At 43.1% G+C, this 19,447-nt stretch overlaps 1 long non-coding RNA gene across 1 annotated transcript; it reads left to right on the top strand.

Moving 5' to 3' along the window:
- Nucleotides 1–172: 172 nt before the first annotated feature.
- LOC124902628 (uncharacterized) lies at nt 173–7,362 on the top strand. The gene is made up of 2 exons (XR_007062586.1): nt 173–904; nt 7,141–7,362. It is a non-coding gene; the product is annotated as an uncharacterized LOC124902628 (long non-coding RNA).
- Nucleotides 7,363–19,447: the final 12,085 nt, after the last annotated feature.

The raw sequence follows: 19,447 nt of genomic DNA, 5'->3' as shown, positions 1-19,447 counted from the left end.
CTGCCTCAGCCTCTGAAATAGCTGGGATTACAAGCGCGTGCCACCATGCCCAGCTAATTTTTGTATATTTAGTAGAGATGGGGTTTCAGCATCTTGGCCAGGCTGGTCTTGAACTCCTGACCTCGTGATCCACCCTGCCTCGGCCTCTCAAAGTGCTGGGATTACAGGCGTCAGCCACCGCACCCGGCCTCTTTTTTTAATTTTTATTTTTTTGATGAGGTCTTTCCAGATGAGATCTATTTTGCAAGACTGGTATGAAGTTTAAATGAGAGGGTAGTATGTATAAGACACAGCATCAGCATCATGGTATCTGACAGTCACTGATGTTTGTACTGTGTCAATTAGGTAAGTTGAAATCTAGTTCCTCAAATGTCCGTTCCCAATGTGGATCCAGGATAGGATTCACTACAGAAGAATTTCGTGTAAGTTTGGAAGGAGCAGGTAAGATTTATGTAAGATTTGGAAGCAGCAGCCCTTGTGTTCTGAAGGTTGATGTAAATATCACATGCCGCTGCAGATCATAGAGTGGTTACTGATCTGCTAACATACTTTGTTGGTACAGAGCATTAACTGGCCCACAGCTCCTTCAACTCCCACCAAATTTTCTATTTCAGTGTCTCCAAGCCTTGGCGCAAGGCACGTGTAGTTCCATGGTAAAGGCATTAGCTTATGCTACATATCGCATGCTCGTCAATGTGAAAGATAGCTGTGAGTTCCATTTTGTCTTCGTGGGTTCCAGTTTGTCCTGTGGATTCTAGTTTGTCCTCACTCTCCCTCAATGCAATCCAACTTTTCTTCCTGATTGCTAGCCCTGATGACCTATCATAAACTTCAGGCCCATTGCTGGATGCAGAGGGAACAGCCTTCCATGTACTCATTCGTCAGCTTTCCTTTGTGATCTCTGGTTAGTGACTTTTCTGATTGTCCAGCCATCTCCTTTCAGACCTTTTCTTCCCTAGCTTCTCCTGCAACTGTATTGTATCCAATTCTCAGAATAAAGCCTGTATTCCATAGTGGTGGCCACTTCCCTGATCAGCCCATAACTGATAATAAAACTGGTGAAGTTAGACACTGCAACAATGAAAAGCATGTGTTGGCCGGGCGCGGTGGCTCACGCCTGTAATCCCAGCACTTTGGGAGGCTGAGGCAGGTGGATCACGAGGTCAGGAGATCAAGACCATCCTGGCTAACATGGTGAAACACTGTCTCTACTAAATATACAAAAAATTAGCCGGGTGTGGTGGCGGGCGCCTGTAGTCCCAGCTACTCGGGAGGCTGAGGCAGGAGAATGGCGTGAACCTGAGAGGCGGAGCTTGCCGTGAGCGGAGATCGCACCACTGCACTCCAGCCTGGGTGACAGAGCGAGACTCTGTCTCAAAAAAAAAAAAGAAAGAAAAACATGTGTCATCGGCTTTGGACAGGGGTGGGCGGAAGCCAAAAGGACCTCAAGAGAAGTCTTGAAGGACAGTGAGGGAATTGCTATTGAAGGTCGGTGCTTTGAGTTGACTTGTGTCCCCACCAAAATTCATATTGAAATTCTAACTCCCAGTACCTCAGAATGTGATCTTATTTGCTCTTGTTTTTGGGTTTTTTTAGCGACAGGATCTCAGTCACCCAGGCGGGGGTAGAGTGGTACAATCATAGCTCGCTGTAACCTTGAACTCCTGTGCTCAAGTGATCCTCCTGCCTCCGCCTCCCAAGTACATAGGATTATAGGCACATACCACCATGCCCAGCTAATTTTTTTACTTTTTTTGTAGAGACAGGGTCTTGGCTATGTTGTCCACACTGGTCTCAAACTCCTGGCCTCAAAGGATCCTCCCACTTCAGCCTTCCCAAGCACTGGGATTACAGGCATGAGCCACTGCACCCAGCCAGAATGTAATCATATTTGAAGATAGGGTCTTTATAGAGGTAGTTCACTTAAAATGATGTCATTAGGTTGGGTCCTAATCCATTATGACTGGCGTCCAAATTTTGGACACAAACATGCACACAGAAAGAACACCATGCCAGCCTGAAGACAGAGATCAGAGTGATGGATCTACAAGCCAAAGAATGCCAGACATTGCTGCCAGCAAGCAAACCACGAGAATCTAGGAGAGAAACATGGGACAGATTATTGCTCACAGCTCTTAGGCAGGATCAACCCAACCAACACCTTGATCTTGGACATCTAGTCCAGAACTGTGAGATTGCCAGGGGCAGTGGTTCATGCCTGTAATCCCAGCACTTTGGGAGGCCAAGGCAGGTGGGTCACTTGAGGCCAGGAGTTCAAGACCAGCCTGGCCAACATGGCAAAACCCTGTCTCTACTAAAATACAAAAAATTAGCTGGGTATGGTGTCACGTGCCTGTAATCCCAGCTACTTGGGAGGCTAAGCCACGAGAATCGCTTGAACCTGGCAGGCAGAGGTTGCAGTGAGCTGAGATTGAGCCACTGCACCCCAGCCTGGGTAACAGAGTGAGACTCTGTGTCAAACAAACAAACACACACAAAAAAACGGAACTGTGACATGATAAATTTCTGTAGTCTAAGTCACCGGTTCTGTTGTTTAAATCACCCTGTTTGTGGTACCTTGTTATGGCACCCTTAGCAAACTAATACAGTTGGATAAAACGTGACTCCTGTCATATAGTGGCAGAAAGTTTGGCAGCACCGTTGACTGAGGTAATGTAAAAAACAGAAAGAGTAGTGAGTATGTGGTGTGCACCTATAGACCCAGCTACTCAGGAGGCTGAGGCAGGAGGATCATATGAGCACAGGAGTTCAAGGCCAGCCTGCGCCACATAGTGAGACACATCTCAACAAAAAAAAAAGGAAAGAAAGGGTATCTCATGAAAATTAGAAAGCGCAGTTAATGATCTTGTATCTCATGGATTTGGCTAGGGAAGTTTGCAGTCAGAGTGTTGAAATTGCCAAGTGGAGTCTTCTATTTGTTTAAGACAAAATACAAGAAAGTTGAACTAAGGAATTGTTTAATTTTAAAGCAGCACTTAGAATATTAAAAAGTCAAGACTTGCTAGGTCAAAAATAAACCTGTTTCTAACCTCTATTATCTCCCAAGAAAAAGACTTTCACAGTAAGAGATGACCTAATAGCAAAGATTAAATTCAATACACTTCAAGTAAAGTGTGGCCTCTGGGTAAAAATAACCTTGAGGGGCTGGGCATGGTGGCTCACATCTGTAATCCTAGCACTTTGGGAAGCCAAGCCAGGAGAACCACTTGAGGTCAGGAGTTCAAGACCAGCCTGGGCAACACAGTGAGACCTGGTTGCTATAAAAATAAAAGTAAACAATAATAATCTCAAGGGCTTTTTTCAGCTCAGGAAACAGCTGTAAGATTGAAGGGCATGCTTCATAGACATTCCCAATTAGATAAAAAGGCTTCAGGAATTTTAAGAGCATTATCTCAGAGTACCTTGATTGTAAGTCCAAGGAAGAGAGAAAACAGCCTTTAAAGACTTTAGGGGGCCAGACGTGGTGGCTCAGGCCTATAATCCCAACACTTTCGAAGGCTGAGGTGGATGGATCACTTGAGTCCAGGAGTTTAAGACCAGCCTGGCCAACATAGCGAGAACCCCAGTTCTACAAAAGAAATTTTTTCTTACTAGCTGGGCATGGTGGCATGCACCTGTAGTCCCAGCTATTCTGGAGGCTGAGGTGAGAAGATTGCTTGAGCCTAGGAGGTCAAGGCTGCAGTTAGCTACATCATGCCACTGCACTCCAGCCTGGGTGACAGAGCAAGACCCTGTCTCTTAAAAGACTTTAGAGTGTGGCTTTTGTCTAATAGAGTGAACCTCAATGCTATTAATAGAAAACTCACAATGTTTTTCAGAGAATTATATTGGTAGAAGCACCATGAACTTGAACTGAAAAGAACAGATAGTTCAAAATGAAAAGAGACCTTATGGCACCCAACTTTATATAGAGAGGAAGCAGGCTGAAAAGGCAACTTATTTGCAAACACAGGTTATTTTTTATGGAAAAGGAAGCAAAGCTAAATGCAGAACCAAGAGTCCAAAGGGAAGAGCCAAGAATCACAGAGAAAAACTCCCTTGGAGCAGGACTAGGCCTTAGTCAAGGAACTAGAAATATGTGCCTGGATGGATTTCAGAATTGCTATGAGCCAGTAACTGCTTATGTGCCTCTCATTCTTCCTCCCTCCACCTTTTCCTTTTTCTTTTTCTTTTTCTTTTTTTTTTTTTTTTTTTGAGACAGAGTCTCACTTTGTGCCCCTAGGCTGGAGTGCAGTGGCATGATCTTGGCTCACTGCAACCTCCGCCCCCTAGGTTCAAGCGATTCTCCTCCCTCAGCCACCCAAATAGCTGGGACTACAGGCCCACGCCACCATGCCCAGCTAATTTTTTGTATTTTTAGTAGAGACAGGGTTTCACCGTGTTGCCAGGCTGGTCTTGAACTCCTGAGATCAGGCAATCCACCCACCTCAGCCTCCCAAAGTGCAAGGATTATAGGCGTGAGCTATCATGCCTGGCCCTTCCACCTTTTTCTTTTTTCTTTTTCTTTTTTTTTTTTTTTTGATAGGGAGTCTCACTCTGTCACCTATGCTGGAGTGCAATGGCACGATCTCGGCTCACTGCAACCTCCACCTCCCAGGTTCAAGAGATTCTCCTGTCTCAGCCTCCCGAATAGCTGGGATTACAGGCACACGCCATCACGCCTGGCTAATTTTTTGTATTTTAGTAGATACGGGATTTCACCGTGTTGCCCAGGCTGGTCTTGAACTCCTGACCTCAGGCAATCCGCCTGCCTCAGCCTCCCAAAGTGCTAGGATTACAGGTGTGAGCCACTGAACCCGGCCCTTCCTTCACCTTTTTCAATGGGAGTATTTGCTATAATTTTGCTGTCTTTATATCACCATTACATGTTGTTCAGTGTGCAAAATAGAGTTAACCATAGCAAGCCTGACTACTTATCCTTAGAAGGGCCTGCTTAGGCCAGGCATGGTGTTTCATGACTGTAACCGCAGCACTTTGAAGGCCAGGACAGAAGATCACTTGAGCCCAAGAGTTTGAGACCACCTGGGCAACATAATGAGACCTCATCTCTACAAATAAAAAAAAATTAGCTGAGCATGGTGGTGCATAACTATGGTCCCAGCTACTCAGGAGGCTGAGATGGGAGGATCTCATGAGCCCAGGAGGTCAAGGCTCCAGTGAGCTGTGATTGCACCGCTGCACTCCAGCCTGGGTGAAATGAGATCCTACCTCAAAAAAAGTAAAAGTAAAAAACTAGCCAGGCATGGTGGTGCATGCCTGTAGCCCCAGCTACTTAAGAGGCTGAGGCAGGGGTATCACTTGAGCCCAGAAGTTTGAGGCTACAGTGAGCCATGATTGCACCACTGCACTCCAGCCTGAGCAATAGAGCAAGAACCAGTCTCTAAAAAAGAAAAAAGACAGAAAGGTCTGCTTCCAAGGTTAGCCTTTTGTTTTCTTTTGTTTTGTTTTGTTTTGTTTTGTTTTGTTTTTTGAGATGAATCTCGCTCTGTTGCCCAGGCTGGAGTGCTCTGTCACCCAGGCTGGAGTGCAGTGATGCGATCTCAGCTCACTGCAAGCTCTGCCTCCCGGGTTCAAGTGATTCTCCCACTTCAGCCTCCCGATTAGCTGGGACTACAGGTGCATACCACCACGCCCAGTTAATGTTTACATTTTTTGTAGAGACAGGGTTTTGCCATGTTGCCTGGGCTGGTCTTGAACTCCTGAGCTCAAGTGATCCACCCACGTCGACCTCCCAAAGTGCTGCGATTACAGGTGAGAGCCACCATGCCTGGCCACTTTGCTCTGTGTCTTCTTGTTGCAGTAAATCTTAGCCATGAATATGACTATTTGCTGAGTCCTGTGAGTCTTTGTAGCGAATCATTCAACCTTGGGTGGGGGACCCCTAACACAGGCAAGAGACACAAATAACTTGTCTCTAGTTTGTGGCTCTTCTGATCAAGAGAAGATTGCAAACAAGGAGCCTCATTCACACCTGACCCTAATTTATATGAGATCCTGGACTTCAAGCCAATACCATGAAAGGGACATGAATTGTGGTAGCCTGTGCTGTTCATTCTATTCCTTCCTATAGACACACGTCAAGGAAGTCTAATTCCCCTCCTCTGGAATATGGGTAAACTTCCTGACTTGTTTGAGCAATAGAATGTGGCAGAACAGGGACTTCTAAAGCTAGGTTGTAAAAAACCGTATAACTTTTCACCTGGATTTCTTGGAATTTTCACTCTTGGGTTGCTCCCTCTTGGAAACTTCCTTCCATACTGTAAGAAGCTAAAGCCACATGGAAAGGCTGCATGGAGAGAGAGAATAATGCTGGCCAACCCCCAGCTGTTTCAGCCACACAAGCCCACAAATAAGATATGTTAGGAAAGGAGGAAAGGAGCTACCTGGGACATTCTAGACCCAGTAGACGCTACATGGAGCAAAACCGAAGCCCCAGACATATGACAATGTCATATGTTCTTGCCATCTCCAGCCATTTGAGCCAACCCAGCTGAGACCTCCAACACTGGGAAGCAAAGACAAGCCATTCCTGCTCTGCCCTGCCCAAACTCCAACCCTCTGGATCATGAGTACAATAAAATAGTAGGGCCGGGCGCCGTGGCTCACGCCTGTAATCCCAACACTTTGGGAGGCCGAGGCAGGTGGATCACAAGGTCAGGAGTTCAAGACCAGCCTGGCCAAGATGGTGAAACCCTGTCTTTACTAAAAATACAAAAATTAGCTGGGAGTGGTGGCAGGCACCTGTAATCCCAGCTACTTGGGAGGCTGAGGCAGAGAATTCCTTGAACCTGGGAGGCGGTGATTGCAGCGACCCGAGATTACGTCACTGCACTCCAGCCTGGGAGACAGAGCGAGATTCCATCTCAAAAACAAAAACAAAAAAACAGTAGTTGTTTTATGGCACTAAGTTTTGGAAAGGATGGTTATGTAACATTAGATAACCAAGCAGCAGTAACACGATAATGTCCCCAAGAAAATGTTTCCTTCTCCTGTCCACCAGAGAAGATTCTGTCTTGGCCTATTCAGATTCTTCCCCTCCCCTGCTTTCCAAGGAGGGTCCTGCCTTGCCAGACCAGCTTTTTGTTTTGTTTTGTTTTGTTTTGTTTTGTTTTGTTTCAGTGGAGAATTAAGAAGAAAGGAAGAAGGAAAGAGGACCACATTGCAGAGTTTTTTGCAGGGAAGGGACAGTCGTTGAAAAAAAAAAAAAGCGCTGCTACAGTATGTGAAAACATTGGATGGGAAAGGGATGAAGGGGGAATTCTAAGAAGTCTCATGGGAAACTAAATGTTTCTATAGTGTTCAAAATGTACAAATAAAGTATGCGGAATATTTTTAAATTTGTTCTGGCTGCATGGACTGTGTTCTTTTATTTAGGGCTAGCTCAGTCATGGCTGACACTTAGTCATTGCTTTCTAAGAGTTATCCTGCTAAGTGCTACACAGGAAAAGTAGGGGTTGATATGAGAGGATACACTGGTGAACTTGCTGGTCTGTTGGGATCAGGGAAGGCTTCAAATGAGAAAATGTCAATGAGTCTGGATCCTGATGGATGAGTTGCAGTTAACTGGGCAAAAAAAATGGGGGAAGAGCCTTCCAGACAGAAGGATCAGCCTGAAAGGAGAATGGTTTAGTCAAGAAACCCAAGTGAAGGCCAGCAGGTCTAGAGTGTGGTGAACACTGGGAAGAGTGCTGAGATGAGAGAAGGGAATTGGTTGGTATCTGAGTCTATTAAGCCAGGAGCAACAGGCCTGTCAGTTAGTTCAGTAGAGCTCTTATCTTCCCCACAAATACCCTGAAATACCCTGTAATCAGTGGACACTATCTGGCAACAGGAAGCAGAAATGTTGAATGTCTGTGACTAAAGTTGGCAGATGTGATAGTGGTATCCAGCCCCTGGCCACTGGGTCCCCCTGGTCACTGGGTTCAGCAGTAGCTGATAGCATCTTCATTACTGCCATTTCTTGAGGAGGAAAGGTCATTTCTGGTTCCACAGTAAGTCTCATAAGCTAGCCCCAGGATTTAACCAGAGCCTGAGGAAGTTAGGCCTGTCTCATGTCTTCAGAGTCAGGTGAGATTGCAGGCTCCTCAACTGGCAAAAACAACACCCCTCTCTGCCTCACAGGGTTATTATGAAGAATGAATAAAATAATAACAGCTGTGAAAGCATGGCATAATCATGATAGCCTATCCAAATGGGAGGGGTGAGAGTGACAAACAGGAAAAAGGAGAATAATAATAATAGAGTTCTGATGCCAAAGAGGACAAAGGCCTCTGATGCCTTGGGGTTGGGTGGTTTGCTCAAGGTACAAAAGCAGCAAAATATGATCTTTTAATGATAAGAACTGGGTGACAGGACTAACTTTGAAAGACTTCTCAGACATTACAAACTGGAGTTTCAGCTGAGCCCAGCATTCTATGAAAAATCCCAATTTAGTGATAATTCCACTGGGACCAAGGCCAGATCTACTGCTGCATTGAAGGCATGAAAATCCATATCAGCCTGACCCACCGAGGACAGAGGTAAGAGTACAGTCAGGAGAAGCTTACTACATGTGGCATTTGAGACTTGAGAATTAAAGTTCACAGATAGCTATAGAGGGGAAGGAATGACATTCCAGAAACAGGTAGCTGCATGTGCAGACGTATGGGAGCAAAAACAAAACAAAACAGGCCGGGTGCGGTGGCTCATGCCTGTAATCCCAGCATTTTGGGAGGCCGAGGCAGGGGGATCACGAGGTCAGAAGTTTGAGACCAGCCTGACCAACATAGTGAAACCCCGTCTCTAATAAAAATAAAAAATTAGCCAGGCGTGGTGGCGTATGCCTGTAATCCCAGCTACTCAAGAGGCTGAGGCAGGAGAATCGCTTGAACCCAGGAGGCGGAGGTTGCAGTGAGCTGAGATCATGCCACTGCACTCCAGCCTGGGCAACAGAGCGAGACTCCGTCTCAAAAAACAAAACAACAACAAAAAAGTATGTGAGAGATGAAGGAGAAAAAGGACTGCGGAATGTTGTAGAATGGTATTTTGGCCAATATTCTTTGGTCTTTGCAGTCACAAAGGTGGTAAAAGACAGGATTTTTTAAGGAGAAACTGAATCAAAAAGCCAGGCAAACCCACAGCCAACATCATACTCAATAGTCTAAAACTGTAAGTTTTTCTTCTAAGGTCAGAAACAAGGTAAGGATGCCCACTCCCACCACTTCTATTCAACACAGTACTGGAAGTCCTAGCCAGAGCAATTAGGCAAAGAAAAAAAAAAACATTCTAATTGGAAAGGAAGAAATGAAATTATCTCTGTTCACAGATGATATGATCTTATATGTAGAAAACCCCAAGATTCCACCGCTCAAAATGTTTAGAACTAGTGAATGAATTCAGCAAAGTTGCAGGATACAAAATCAACACTCAAAAATCAGCTGTATTTCTTATACACTAACAATGAACGATCCAAAAAGAAAATTACAAAAACAATTTCATTTACAGGAGCATCAAAAAGAATAAAATGGCCAAGCACAGTAATCTCAACACTTTGGGCAACTGAGGCAGAAGGATCACTTTAGGCCAGGAGTTCAAGACTAGCCTGAGCAACATAGTGAGACCCCCATTTCAAAAAAAAGTAGAAATTTTTAAGATATATATTTTAAAAAGAGTAAAATACTTAATAAGTAACTTAACCAGGAAGGTAAAAGACTTGTACAATGAAAACTACAAAACATTGCTGAAGGAAATTAAAGAAAACACAAATAGGCCAGGCACAGTGGCTCACACCTGTAATCCCAGCACTTCGGGAGGCAGAAGCGGGCAGATCACCTGAGGTCGGGAGTTCGAAACCAGCCTGACCAACATGGAGAAACCCCGTCTCTACTAAAAATACAAAATTAGCCGGGTGCGGTGGTGCATGCCTGTAATCCCAGCTACTCAAGAGGCTGAGACAGGAGAATTGCTTGAACCCAGGAGGCAGAGGTTGTGGTGAGCCAAGATTGTGCCATTGCACTCCAGCCTGGGCAACAAGAGCAAAACTCTGTCTCAAAAAAAAAAAAGAAAAGAAAAAAGAAAACGCAAATAAATGGAAAGTTATCCCACGTTCATTGATTAGAAGACTTAATTTTGTTACGATGTCAATACTACCCAAAGCAATCTACAGATTCAATGCAATCTCTATCAAAATCCCAGTGACATTTTTTGCAGAAATAGAAAAAAAAAAATCCTATGCCAGGCACGGTGACTCAAGCCTGTAATCCCAGCACTTTGGGAGGCTGAGGTGGGAGGATCACCTGAGGTCAGGAGTTCAAGACCAGCTTGGCCAACGTGGTGAAACCCCATCTCCACTAAAAATACAAAAATTAGCTGGGTGTGGTGACATGTGCCTGTAATCCCAGCTACTCAGGAGGCTGAGGTGGGAGAATTGCTTGAACCTGGGAGGTGTTCAAGCCGAGATCGCACCCTTGCACTCCAGCCTGGGTGACAAGAGCAAAACTCCCTCTTTTTGAGAGGAAAAAAATCCTAAAATTCATATGGAATCTCAAGGGACACCAAATAGCCAAAACAATCTTGAAAAAGAAGAATAAAGCTGGAGGCCTCACATTTCCTGATTTCAAAACTACTACAAAACTACAGTAACCAAAACAGTTTGGTACTGGCATAAAGACAGGCATATAGACCAACGGCATAGAATAAAGAGCCAAGAAAGAAACCTTAGCGTATATCATCAAGTGGTGTTTGACAAGGGTGCCAAGCCCCTTCAAAGGGGAAAGGACAATCTTTTCAACAAATAATACTGAAAAAACTGGATATCCACAGGCAAAATAATGAAGCTGGATTCTTGCCTAACATAATATAAAAAACTTAACTTAAAATAGATCAAAGACCCAAAGGTAAGACCTAAAACTCTTAGCAGAAAACATAGGACAAATTTTCACATTAAATTTGGCAATGGGTTCTTGGCTTTGACACCAAAGACACAGGCAACAAAAGAAAAAATAAACAAATTGGACTTCATGAAAGTTTTTAAATTTTGTGCATCAAAAGACAATCTCAACAGGGCAAAAAGACAACCCACAGAATGGGCAAAAATATTTGCAAGGCATGTATTGCCTAAGAGTTTAATATTTAGAATATATAAAGAACTTCTCAATCTCAACAACAACAACAAAAAACTCAAATTTTAAGTAGGCAAAGGATTTGAATATTCAAAGAAGGTATGCAAAAAAACTAATGCTTAACATTGCTAATGTTGATTAGATGCTCAACCTTATTATTAGGGAAATGAAAGTCAAACTACAATGAGCTGTCACTTCACACCCATTAAGATACCTACTATCAAAAAAAAGGAAAGAGCGAGTGTTGGCAAGGATGTGGAGAAATTGGAAACCTTGTGCACTGACAGTAGGAATGTAAAATGATATAGTCATTGTGGAAAACAATATGATGGTTCCTCAAAATGTTAAAAATAGGATTACCACATGATCCTGCCATTCCACTTCTGGATCTTACCCAAAAGAATTGAAAATAGGGTCTCAGAGATAGTTGTGTATCCATTTCATAACAGCATTATTCAAAATAGCTAAAAAGGAAAAGCAACCTATGTCCAAGGATGAATGAATGAATAAGCAAAATGTGGCATATACATACAATGAAATATTCTTCAGCTTTAAAAAGGAAGGAAATAGTGATACATGCTGCATGGATGAAGGCTGAGGACATTATGCTAAATGAAATAAGCCAGTCGCAAAAAGACCAACGTTATATGATTCCACTTATATGAGGTACTTAACAGAGTAGTCTAAATCATAGACACAGAAGTACAATGGTGGTTGCCGGGGAATGTGGGGAGAGGAGAATGGGGAGCTGTTGTTTAGTGGGTATAGATTTAGTTTTACAAGACGAAAAGAGTTACGAATGGTGATGATGGTTGCACAATGTTATGAATGTATTTAATATTACCAATTGTATACTTAAAAATAGTTAAGACGGTAAATTTTATGTTACGTGTATTTTACCACAATAAAAAAATTAGAAAAAAAGGCCAAGTCGAGTAGTGAAATCTCAGGACAAGACAGAGAGGAGGGGAATCTGGCATAAACCTAGAGGTGGAGAAATCAGGGAGAACAGGCCAAGTCATGGATCCAAACCCAAGGGCAAGAGGCAGAGCCTGAAGAAATGCCTGAGATTTTCTCATGGTTCCTATGGTCAAAGGCAAGAGTGCAGCCCAAGGACTTGTGGGTAATGCCCAGCTCAGGTGTAACATACATGTACAGTTGATGCTTGAACAACACAGGTTTAAACTGTGTGGGTCCACTTAAATGCAGATTTTCTTCTGCCTCTGCCACTCAGAGACAGTAGGATTAATCCCTCATCTTCCCCCTCCTCAGCCTACTCATCATGAAGAAGTTTATGATGATCCACTTCCACTTAATAAATATTAATATGTTTTCTCTTCCTTATGATTTTCTTAATATTTTATTTCTATAGCTTTATTGTAAGAATACAGTATATAATAAATATAACATACAAAATATGTGTTAATCAACTGTTTATGTTTATTAACTGTTATTCTATTCCATTAGTCTATATGTCTGTCTTTACGCCAGTGCCATACTGTTTTGATTACTATAGCATTGTAGTGCTTTTGAAACCAGGAAGTGTGAGGCCTCCAGCTTTTTTCTTCCTTTTCTGGTCAATAGGAGGCTATTAGTAGTCAAGTTTTGGGGAAGTCAAAAGTTATAAGAGAATTTTCAACTACGTGGGGTGGGGATACGGGTCAGCTAAAATTAAGGAGTGGCTTAAAGAGGAGCCCATGAAAAAAAGACTAAGAAAATGCAGCTACAGCAGTGAGCAGTGACTCATGCTTGTAATGCCAACACTTGTGGAGGCCAAGGCAGGAGGATCACTTGAGGCCAGGAGTTTGAGACCAGCCTGTGCAACATGGTGAGACTCCGTCTCTAAAAAATTACTTTAAAAATTAGCCAGGTGTGGTAGCACTTGCCTGTAGTCCTAGCTACTCAGGAGGTCAAGGTGGAAGGGTCTTTTGAGCCCAAGAGTTCGAGGTTGTAGTGAGCTGTGATTGTACTACCACACTCCAGCCTAGGTGACAGAGCAAGACCCTGTATCAAAAAAAAAAAAAGAAACACAGAGAGAAAGAGAAAAGGGGAGGGAAGGAGGGAGGGAGGGAGGGAGGAAGGGAGGGAGGCAGGGAGGGAGGGAGGGAGGGACGGAGGACGGAAGGAAGGAGCACCACCAGAGGGGTCCAAAATCTCCCCTCCACTCTCTCCATCAAAATCTTCTCCTAAGTGTGGGAAACCAATCTAAATTAAAGCAATTTATATTCAGGAGTGAATGACCAATGCTCCAGCCATCATGGGTATTAACCTACAAGTGTAAATTAATCTCCACTGGATGAAATTTTAGCCTACTTGAACTGGGAGTGGCAAAGAACCCTTCAATTATGGCTACTGTAGCCATTGACTTCAGCTTGTGGGAGAGAAGCAGAGGAGACAGTTAGAAGCAGAGGAGACAGTTGGAAGCAGCTCTGAAGCTCCTCTGAAGTCCTAATTCTGGGATACTCACGTGTTTCCTCTTTCCTAACATCTTCTTCTAATGAGAACATCTACGGTTTGAATCTGATGCAAACCTCTAACTGACAGCTACGTATCCATAGAGTTTCTGGGCAAATATTGGCATCCAAGTAGGACAGGGCAAATACTGGTTTCCAAGGTCCAGTTCAGCCTCAGGCTGAATATCCACCTGTCCTGTGCCCAATTATTGACTCAATAAGGACAGAACAACTCAGGCCTCTGACTCCACACAAGAAACTAATAGGAGAGAGTAGTAGAGAAGAGGTCATCACTCGCCATTCATCCTCTCCCTCTGGGAAAGCATAGAACATCTTTTCCTCCATTCTTCACTCCCTTCCTTTTTTCTCCATGCCTTCCTTTCCTCTTTCCTTTCTTCCTTCCACAAATATGTATTCAGCATCTTCTCTGTATCAGGTATTATGCCAGGCACTGGAGATCCAATAGTGGACATGCATGCACAGCCCTTTCCCTCGTGGACTCATGGTTTGGTGCAGTCCTGTCCCTTCTGATGACTTGAGGAGGCCATGCCATGTAGGTGCTGCTGAGTTACCACTCAGAACCATACAGCAGGCCTTCAGAGCAGCTTCCTCCTCCTTCCCATGTTTCCAGTCCCCCCTTATCTAATCTTTATTAATAGTGTCATTCAAAGGTTTTACCAGCCAGGAAAGGAAGGATTGAGTCTGCAGGGTCAGCTTTTTTTTTTTTTTTTTAATGGCATCTGATTTACACACCATTTTGTAACACATTATCAGACTCTCTTTTTACCTGGTTATTAAGTGACCATGAAGGTTGTTCAGTTTTTCCTGTTCTTGGTATAATTCCTGCTTTTTTACATAACTCTTTGGCTTACTCACAAGTTCCCTGAATACACTCTTCCCTCATTAGCAGAGAAAAATATATTTTATATGCAAAATAAACTTAACAGAAGAAATACAATAGGCCAGGCGCAGTGATTCAAGCCTGTAATCCTAGCACTTTGGGAGGCTGAGGCAAGCAGATCACTTGAGGCCAGGAGTTTGAGACCAGCCTGGCCAACATGGCAAAACCACGTCTCTACCAAAAATTTAAAAAAAAATTAGCCGGGGGTGGTGGTGCGCACCTGTAATCCCTGCTATTCAGGAGGCTGAGGCACGAGAATCACTTGAACCCAGGAGGCAGAGGTGGCAGTGAGCCAAGTTCGCACCACTGCACTCCAGCTTGGGAGACAGAGCAAGACTCTGTCTCAAAAAAACAAACAACAACAACAACAACAACAAAAAAATACAAGAAATAAAACAATTCGATAATGAGTTAGAGGGACATTGTTTCCAGGGGATACAACTGAAGAATATTTTTCTTTTTAAGACCATAGGTTTTTATTAAAATGTTTGATTTTTATCCAACTCTATCTTATTCTAAAATAGAAACTTCAGTAATGTTCTCTACCACATACTTCCTTAATTTTTAACCTGTCACCAAATTTATTATTGTAACCTCTTCTTTTTTATAATCTTCATTTGAATAATATATTACCATTCAGAACTCTCTTCATTGATGCAAATTTGTTTGCATTCATTTGTAGTCTAAACTAAATTTAGTGCTCAACTGTAAGATTTTCCAGTTAGCTCTGCACATGTATACTTTGGCTATTTATAAATAACCTGTACTATGCTTCAAATTTAATCCTTTTATGGAAGAATCGAAGTATGAGATAAACAAACAGTTTAGTATTTTAATCAAATAAAACCTGATAACAAAGCAAACCTGATATATATTTATGAGTTGTTTTTCTGTTATGTATCTACAGAAAAGTCTGCATACATTATGTAATTACACACCTGAAGATAGTATGTCAAGGGTTAGATGGCTGAAGAGATGAGGAAAGATTGGAAACACGGGAAGGAGAAGGAAGCTGCTCTGAAGGCTTGCTGTATCATTCTGAGTGGTAACTCAGCAGCACCCACATGGCATGGCCTCCTCAAGTCATCAGCAGAAGGGACAGGACTACACCAAGCCATGAGTCCACGAGGGAAAGGGCCGTGCATGCATGTCCACTGTTGGATCTCCAGGGCCTGGCACTCCAATATCTGATACACAGAAGTTGCTCAATACATATTTGTGGAAGGAAGAAAAGAAAGTGGAATGGAAGACAGGCATGAATGAAGTAAGGAAGGGAGTGAATGTCTAATATATAAGGCATGTAAATATTTCCAATCATTCCAAACATCTAGGTTAATGTATAACAAAGACACTATAATCAATTATATAATACTAACCAAGCAAAATTTTAAAAATACAGAGACTGGGTGCTGGGGCTCATACCTGTAAGCCCAGCACTTTGGGAGGCCTAGGCAGGAGGATCACTTGAGGCTAGGAGTTAGAGACCAGCTTGGACAACATAGAGAGACCCTGTCTCTACCAAAGATTAAAATAAACATATTAGCCAGGCATGGTGGTGCTTGCTTTTAGTCCCAGCTATTGGGGAGGCTGAGGTGGGAGGAGTTCTTGAGCCCAGGAGTTCCAGGCTACAGTGGGCTATGATCACACCACTGCACTCCAGCCTGGCCAACAGAGCAAAATCTTGTCTCTAAAAAAAATGTTTAAATACATAATTTCAGGAAATCCCCTATGAAGAGTATAGACATGGCAAGTGCCATTGACAACAAGTAAAGTTTAATGATTAAAAGGTGCCCAGCCTCCACATAGTGTATGATTCTATTCACGTGAACTGTCCAGAAAAGGCAAATTCAAAGGGACAGAAAGTAGACTGGTGGTTGCCCACGGCCAGGAGGAGGGGGGAATTGCAGCGTGACTGTTTAAGGGGTTTCTTACTGGTGTGATGGAAATGTTGTAAAACTGATTGTGGTGATGGTTGCATAACTCTGAGTATACTAAAAACCATTGAATTTTAAACTTTAAACAGGTGAATTGTATGGTATGTAAATTAATTTATACAATTCTGTTGTTAAAAGGATGTAAGAGGCACCCTAATGCGTGCTGACTAAGGTTTAGAAGGTGCCACCAAGTCCCCTGCTCCAGCCAAGAATCAATCTCAAACAAATAAGATAAATAACCTACAACCTTGGCCGGTATGAAATACTCTTATTTGAATTTGGGGTCTAGTAATATTACTGTAACCCTAGAAAAATACCAAAATAAATATTACTTATAAGAATAAGTGTAGAGGCAATAAAAATAAATTAAATCCATGATTTTAATGTTTTAAAATTAGAGTTAAGTGTAGTTTTAGCCTTTGTGATCATTTTATTTTCATGTTTCTCTCTGTGGTTTGATGTGTTAGGATGTTTGCAGGGTTTAAGAGATCAGTCTTATTGAATCTATTATTGTAATTTAGATTCTTTAAGGGAATTTAAATTAAGTTTATGTAGTGATCCTTATGATAGACTCCCAACATTCATTCCACTCTGAGATGATTAGTGAAAGCCAACTGGCAATCCCATTCTCGCCAGTGGTTCATTTAGGAACAGGTGTGTTACACAGTTCTGGCCAATGAGGTTTCAGGAAAAGTCCACTGTGAGGCTTCTAGGAGAGGTTTCCACAGTCCCCCAAAAAAGGAAATAGTAAGAATCCCACTTCCTCCTCTGAACTGTGTCTGGATATGACATTGGCACTGCACCAGCCACATTGCTAGCTGAGGATGATACAAATACACTGAGAAGGGCAGCAATGAGAGAATCACAGGAAATGGAGCCCAAGCCCAGACATATTGTGCTCGAGTCCACCCTACCTCCTGATTTCATGTTATGGGAGATAATAAATTTCCTTTCAACCTAGGCAACAAATTGAGACCCCATCTCTAAAAAAAAAAAAAATCAAAAAAAAAATCAAAAAATTAGCCAGGCATGGTGACATGCACCTGTGGTCCCAGCTACATGAAAAGCTGAGGCAGGAGGAACACTTGAGCCCAGGAGGCTGAGGCTGCACTGAGCCTTGATTGTACCACCGCACTCCAACCTGAGTGATACAGTGAGACCCTATCTCAAAAAAAAAAAAAAAAAAAAATCCTTATTGCTTAAGCCATTTTGAGTCAAGCTTTTCTATTATTTTCACCCAAAAGAAATATAGTTTGTAATTAGGATTTAAATGTAAAAACGTAGCTTAGAATTTTTTACTTCCGGCCAGGCTCAGTGGCTCACACCTGTGATCCCAGCACTTTGGGAGGCCAAGGCAGGCAGATCACCCGAGGTCAGGAGTTCAAAACCAGCCTGGCCAACTTGGTGAAACCCCGTCTCTACTAAAAACATAAAAATTAGCCTGGTGTGGTAGCGTGTGTCTGTAATCTCAGGAGGCTGGGGCAGGAGAATCACTTGAACCCAGGAGGTGAAGGTTGCAGTGAGCCGAGATTATGCCACTGTACTCCATCCTGGGTGACAGAGCTAGACTCTGTCTCAAAAGAAAAAAGAAAGAAAGAAATTCTTATGTCCTAATTTTGTTTACTAGGCATATAAATTTGATAAAGTGAACATCAATTATACTAGAAGTTGTAGAGGGTATTCCTTTGCCCACACAGAAGCCCCTTGGACTATAAAGAACCTAGAAACACTAAAAAGAGACAAATTTCAAAAAGAGATTCATCAGGCCAGGCACGGCGGCTCACACCTGTAATCCCAGCACTTTGGGAGGCCGAGGAGGGTGAATCACTTGAGGTCAGGAGTTCAAGACCAGCCTGGCCAACATGGTGAAACCCCGTCTCTACTGAAAATACAAAAATTAACCGGGCATGGTGGCACACGCCTGTAATCCCAGCTACTTGGGAGGCTGAGACGGGAGAATCGCTGGAACCCAGGACGGGGAGGTTGCAGTGAGCCAAGATTGTGCCATTGCACTCCAGCCCGGGCAACAGAGTGAGACTCCAGCTCAAAAAAAAGGGGGGGTGGGGATTCATCCCCTCACTCCTCATATGAGGACCAAGAGGTAACATGAGAAATGTTTTCAACTGTAGTGAAATATCTTTCATGTCGGGCATTAAATGTAAACTTGGGGAAGACACGTCTGCAGGAATTGCAAACACTGATCTGCTAGTATCATTTCTCATAGAGGAGGTGAGAGCAGAGAACACAATGAAACAGATCACTGGCAGCTGTGCTCTCTATCAATGACCAAAGGGGACTTCATAGGCCAAGAGTCCAAAATTCAAATGGCTTCAGAGCCCAGGCAAGTTCCATAGATGGATGAAACTGACCAGAGTGAGGCAGTAGGAAATGGTGGCCCCACCTAAAGACAGCATCTTCACTCCGATCCAGGTGATGTTACTATGAGGAAATGGAGCTTCAGTATCTCCAGAGCTTCCATTTTTCAAGAAAAGCCAGAAACCTGGATCATGTGAATCTATCAGTTTTTAGATTTTGGCAAACAATTCAACTTAAAAAGCAAAAGTAAAACACCATTGGACTAAACAAAAGACATCTATAGGCTGTCTGTGGTCCACAGGGTACCCTCTCAGCCCATAGACTTACAACAGGGTCAGAGTGGACATGTGTGAAGTTGAGAGGTCTGCCCTTGCTTTCAGGCAGGGCAAACATTTCCCTCAACAGAAGCTTCTTAGACACTTGGATTCTGGGCCACATAGCTGAAAAGATGTGGTTCATTCTAACAGCCCACTAAGAAGGATTAGTTGCAAAATGCACCTGAGTAGCTGAATGAAATAACCTGTTGCCTGGGGCCACTTAGTGGCATCTGCTTAAATGTTGACGATTGACCCACAATTTTCATTTCAATCCTTGCCAGAGCCAAGCTGTACATCCAATCAATGATTTGCTGCCAAGGTGATCAGTCCCACTAAACTCCTTTGCTGTGTTTATAGACACAGTCATTCACCTGCAATTGAAAACTAAAGAGAGAAGGATCGAGAT

Source organism: Homo sapiens, chromosome 11 (assembly GCF_000001405.40).
Source record: "Homo sapiens chromosome 11, GRCh38.p14 Primary Assembly".
In the NCBI taxonomy this organism is placed as follows: Eukaryota; Metazoa; Chordata; class Mammalia; order Primates; family Hominidae; genus Homo; species Homo sapiens.
This window is presented reverse-complemented; position numbering and strand designations above follow the sequence as displayed.